General features: G+C 42.4%; 1 annotated feature.

Moving 5' to 3' along the window:
* Nucleotides 245–751: an enhancer, noted in NCBI's record as "NANOG-H3K27ac-H3K4me1 hESC enhancer chr1:90528154-90528660 (GRCh37/hg19 assembly coordinates)". NCBI's record gives its function as "activates a minimal SCP1, AML or CMV promoter by ChIP-STARR-seq in naive H9 embryonic stem cells {active_cell/tissue: H9 hESC(naive)}" and the evidence as "EXISTENCE:reporter gene assay evidence [ECO:0000049][PMID:30033119]".

Genomic DNA, 4995 nt, shown 5'->3' with positions numbered 1-4995 from the left:
ATTGCCCTTAAATAATAAAATAATATAGTTGAGTGGCAGGAGCCAAGATGGCCGAATAGGAACAGCTCCAGTCTACAGCTCCCAGCCTGAGCAACGCAGAAGACGGGTGATTTCTGCATTTCCATCTGAGGTACCGGGTTCATCTCACTAGGGAGTGCCAGACAGTGGGCACAGGACAGTGTGTGCGCGCATCGTGCACGAGCCGAAGCAGGGCGAAGCATTGCCTCACTCGGGAAGTGCAAGGGGTCAGGGAGTTCCCTTTCCTAATCAAAGAAAGGGGTGACGGACCGCACCTGGAGAATCGGGTCACTCCCACCCGAATACTGCGCTTTTCCGACGGGCTTAAAAAACGGCGCACCACGAGATTATATCCCTCACCTGGCTCCGAGGGTCCTACCCCATGGAGTCTCGCTGATTGCTAGCACAGCAGTCTAAGATCAAACTGCAAGGCGGCAGCGAGGCTGGGGGAGGGGCGCCCGCCATTGCCCAGGCTTGCTTAGGTAAACAAAGCAGCCGGGAAGCTCGAACTGGGTGGAGCCCACCACAGCTCAAGGAGGCCTGCCTGCCTCTGTAGGCTCCACCTCTGGGGGCAGGGCACAGACAAACAAAAAGACAGCAGTAACCTCTGCAGACTTAAATGTCCCTGTCTGACAGCTTTGAAGAGAGCAGTGGTTCTCCCAGTATGCAGCTGGAGACGTGAGAAGGGGCAGACTGCCTCCTCAAGTGGGTCCCTGACCCCTGACCCCCGAGCAGACTAACTGGGAGGCACCCTCCAGCAGGGGCACACTGACACCTCACACTGCAGGGTACTCCAACAGACCTGCAGCTGAGGGTCCTGTCTGTTAGAAGGAAAACTAACAAACAGAAAGGACATCCACACCAAAAACCCATCCGTACATCACCATCATCAAAGACCAAAAGTAGATAAAACCACAAAGATGGGGAAAAAACAGAATAGAAAAACTGGAAACTCTAAAAATCAGAGCGCCTCTCCTCCTCCAAAGGAATGCAGCTCCTCACCAGCAACGGAACAAAGCTGGATGGAGAATGACTTTGACGAGCTGAGAGAAGAAGGCTTCAGACGATCAAATTACTCTGAGCTATGGGAGGACATTCAAACCAAAGGCAAAGAAGTTGAAAACTTTGAAAAAAATTTAGAAGAATGTATAACTAGAATAACCAATACAGAGAAGTGCTTAAAGAAGCTGATGGAGCTGAAAACCAAGGCTCGAGAACTACGTGAAGAATGCAGAAGCCTCAGGAGCCGATGTGATCAACTGGAAGAAAGGGTATCAGCAATGGAAGATGAAATGAATGAAATGAAGCGAGAAGGAAAGTTTAGAGAAAAAAGAATAAAAGGAAATGAGCAAAGCCTCCAAGAAATATGGGACTATGTGAAAAGACCAAATCTACGTCTGATTGGTGTACCTGAAAGTGATGGGGAGAATGGAACCAAGTTGGAAAACACTCTGCAGGATATTATCCAGGAGAATTTCCCCAATCTAGCAAGGCAGGCCAACGTTCAGATTCAGGAAATACAGAGAACACCACAAAGATACTCCTCAAGAAGAGCAACACCAAGACACATAATTGTCAGATTCACCAAAGTTGAAATGAAGGAAAAAATGTTAAGGGCAGCCAGAGAGAAAGGTCGGGATACCCTCAAAGGGAAGCCCATCAGACTAACAACGGATCTCTCGGCAGAAACCCTATAAGCCAGAAGAGAGTGGGGGCCAATATTCAACATTCTTAAAGAAAAGAATTTTCAACCCAGAATTTCATATCCAGCCAAACTAAGCTTCATAAGTGAAGGAGAAATAAAATACTTTACAGACAAGCAAATGCTGAGAGATTTTGTCACCACCAGGCCTGCCCTAAAAGAGCTCCTGAAGGAAGCGCTAAACGTGGAAAGGAACAACCGGTACCAGCCGCTGCAAAGTCATGCCAAAATGTAACGACCATCGAGACTAGGAAGAAACTGCATCAACTAACGAGCAAAATAACCAGCTAACATCATAATGACAGGATCAAATTCACACAGAACAATATTAACTTTAAATGTAAATGGACTAAATGCTCCAATTAAAAGACACAGACTGGCAAATTGGATAAAGACTCAAGACCCATCGGTGTGCTGTATTCAGGAAACGCATCTCACGTGCAGAGACACACATAGGCTCAAAATAAAAGGATGGAGGAAGATCTACCAAGCAAATGGAAAACAAAAAAAGGCAGGGGTTGCAATCCCAGTCTCTGATAAAACAGACTTTAAACCAATAAAGATCAAAAGAGACAAAGAAGGCCATTACATAATGGTAAAGGGATCAATTCAACAAGAAGAGCTAACTATCCTAAATATATATGCACCCAATGCAGGAGCACCCAGATTCATAAAGCAAGTCCTGAGTGACCTACAAAGAGACATAGACTCCCACACATTAATAATGGGAGACTTTAACATCCCACTGTCAACATTAGACAGATCAACGAGACAGAAAGTCAACAAGGATACCCAGGAATTGAACTCAGCTCTGCACCAAGCAGACCTAATAGACATCTACAGAACTCTCCACCCCAAATCAACAGAATATACATTTTTTTCAGCACCACACCACACCTATTCCAAAATTGACCACATACTTGGAAGTAAAGCTCTCCTCAGCAAATGTAAAAGAACAGAAATTATAACAAACTATCTCTCAGACCACAGTGCAACCAAACTAGAACTCAGGATTAAGAATCTCACTCAAAACCGCTCAACTACATGGAAACTGAACAACATGCTCCTGAATGACTACTGGGTACATAACGAAATGAAGGCAGAAATAAAGATGTTCTTTGAAACCAACGAGAACAAAGACACAACATACCAGAATCTCTGGGACGCATTCAAAGCAGTGTGTAGAGGGAAATTTATAGCACTAAATACCCACAAGAGAAAGCAGGAAAGATCCAAAATTGACACCCTAACATCACAATTAAAAGAACTAGAAAAGCAACAGCAAACACATTCAAAAGCTAGCAGAAGGCAAGAAATAACTAAATCAGAGCAGAACTGAAGGAAATAGAGACACAAAAAACCCTTCAAAAAATTAATGAATCCAGGAGCTGGTTTTTTGAAAGGATCAACAAAATTGATAGACCTCTAGCAAGACTAATAAAGAAAAAAAGAGAGAAGAATCAAATAGACGCAATAAAAAATGATAAAGGGGATATCACCACCGATCCCACAGAAATACAAACTACCATCAGAGAATACTACAAACACCTCTACGCAGATAAACTAGAAAATCTAGAAGAAATGGATAAATTCCTTGACACATACACTCTCCCAAGACTAAACCAGGAAGAAGTTGAATCTCTGAATAGACCAATAACAGGATCTGAAATTGTGGCAATAATCAATAGCTTACCAACCAAAAAGAGTCCAGGACCAGATGGATTCACAGCCAAATTCTACCAGAGGTACAAGGAGGAGCTGGTACCATTCCTTCTGAAACTATTCCAATCAATAGAAAAAGAGGGAATCCTCCCTAACTCATTTTATGAGGCCAGCATCATTCTGATACCAAAGCCGGGCAGAGACACAACCAAAAAAGAGAATTTTAGACCAATATCCTTGATGAACATTGATGCAAAAATCCTCAATAAAATACTGGCAAACCGAATCCAGCAGCACATCAAAAAGCTTATCCACCATGATCAAGTGGCTTCATCCCTGGGATGCAAGGCTGGTTCAATATATACAAATCAATAAATGTAATCCAGCATATAAACAGAGCCAAAGACAAAAACCACATGATTATCTCAATAAATGCAGAAAAGGCCTTTGACAAAATTCAACAACCCTTCATGCTAAAAACTCTCAATAAATTAGGTATTGATGGGACATATTTCAAAATAATAAGAGCTATCTATGACAAACCCACAGCCAATATCATACTGAATGGGCAAAAACTGGAAGCATTCCCTTTGAAAACTGGCACAAGACAGGGATGCCCTCTCTCACCACTCCTATTCAACATAGTGTTGGAAGTTCTGGCCAGGGCAATTAGGCAGGAGAAGGAAATAAAGGGTATTCAATTAGGAAAACAAGAAGTCAAATTGTCCCTGTTTGCAGATGACATGATTGTATATTTAGAAAACCCATTGTCTCAGCCCAAAATCTCCTTAAGCTGATAAGCGACTTCAGCAAAGTCTCAGGATACAAAATCAGTGTGCAAAAATCACAAGAATTCCTATACACCAACAACAGACAAACAGAGAGCCAAATCATGAGTGAACTCCCATTCACAATTACTTCAAAGAGAATAAAATACCTAGGAATCCAACTTACAAGGGATGTGAAGGACCTCTTCAAGGAGAACTACAAACCGCTGCTCAAGGAAATAAAAGAGGATACAAACAAATGGAAGAACATTCCATGCTCATGGGTAGGAAGAATCAATATCGTGAAAATGGCCATACTGCCCAAGGTAATTTACAGATTCATTGCCAGCCCCATCAAGCTACCAATGATTTTCTTCAGAGAATTGGAAAAAACTACTTTAAAGTTCATATGGAACCAAAAAAGAGCCCGCATCGCCAAGTCAATCCTAAGCCAAAAGAACAAAGCTGGAGGCATCACACTACCTGACTTCAAACTATACTACGAGGCTACAGTAACCAAAACAGCATGGTACTGGTACCAAAACAGAGATATAGATCAATGGAACAGAACAGAGCCCTCAGAAATAACGCCGCATATCTACAACTATCTGATCTTTGACAAACCTGAGAAAAACAAGCAATGGGGAAAGGATTCCCTATTTAATAAATGGTGCTGGGAAAACTGGCTAGCCATATGTAGAAAGCTGAAACTGGATCCCTTCCTTACACCTTGTACAAAAATCAATTCAAGATGGATTAAAGACTTAAATGTTAGACCTAAAACCATAAAAACCCTAGAAGAAAACCTAGGCAATACCATTCAGGACATAGGCATGGGCAAGGACT

This window comes from Homo sapiens, chromosome 1 (assembly GCF_000001405.40).
Source record: "Homo sapiens chromosome 1, GRCh38.p14 Primary Assembly".
NCBI classification, from domain to species: domain Eukaryota; kingdom Metazoa; phylum Chordata; class Mammalia; order Primates; family Hominidae; genus Homo; species Homo sapiens.
Note: the sequence above shows the minus strand (reverse complement) of the source record. Positions and strands in the feature narration are given on the sequence as shown.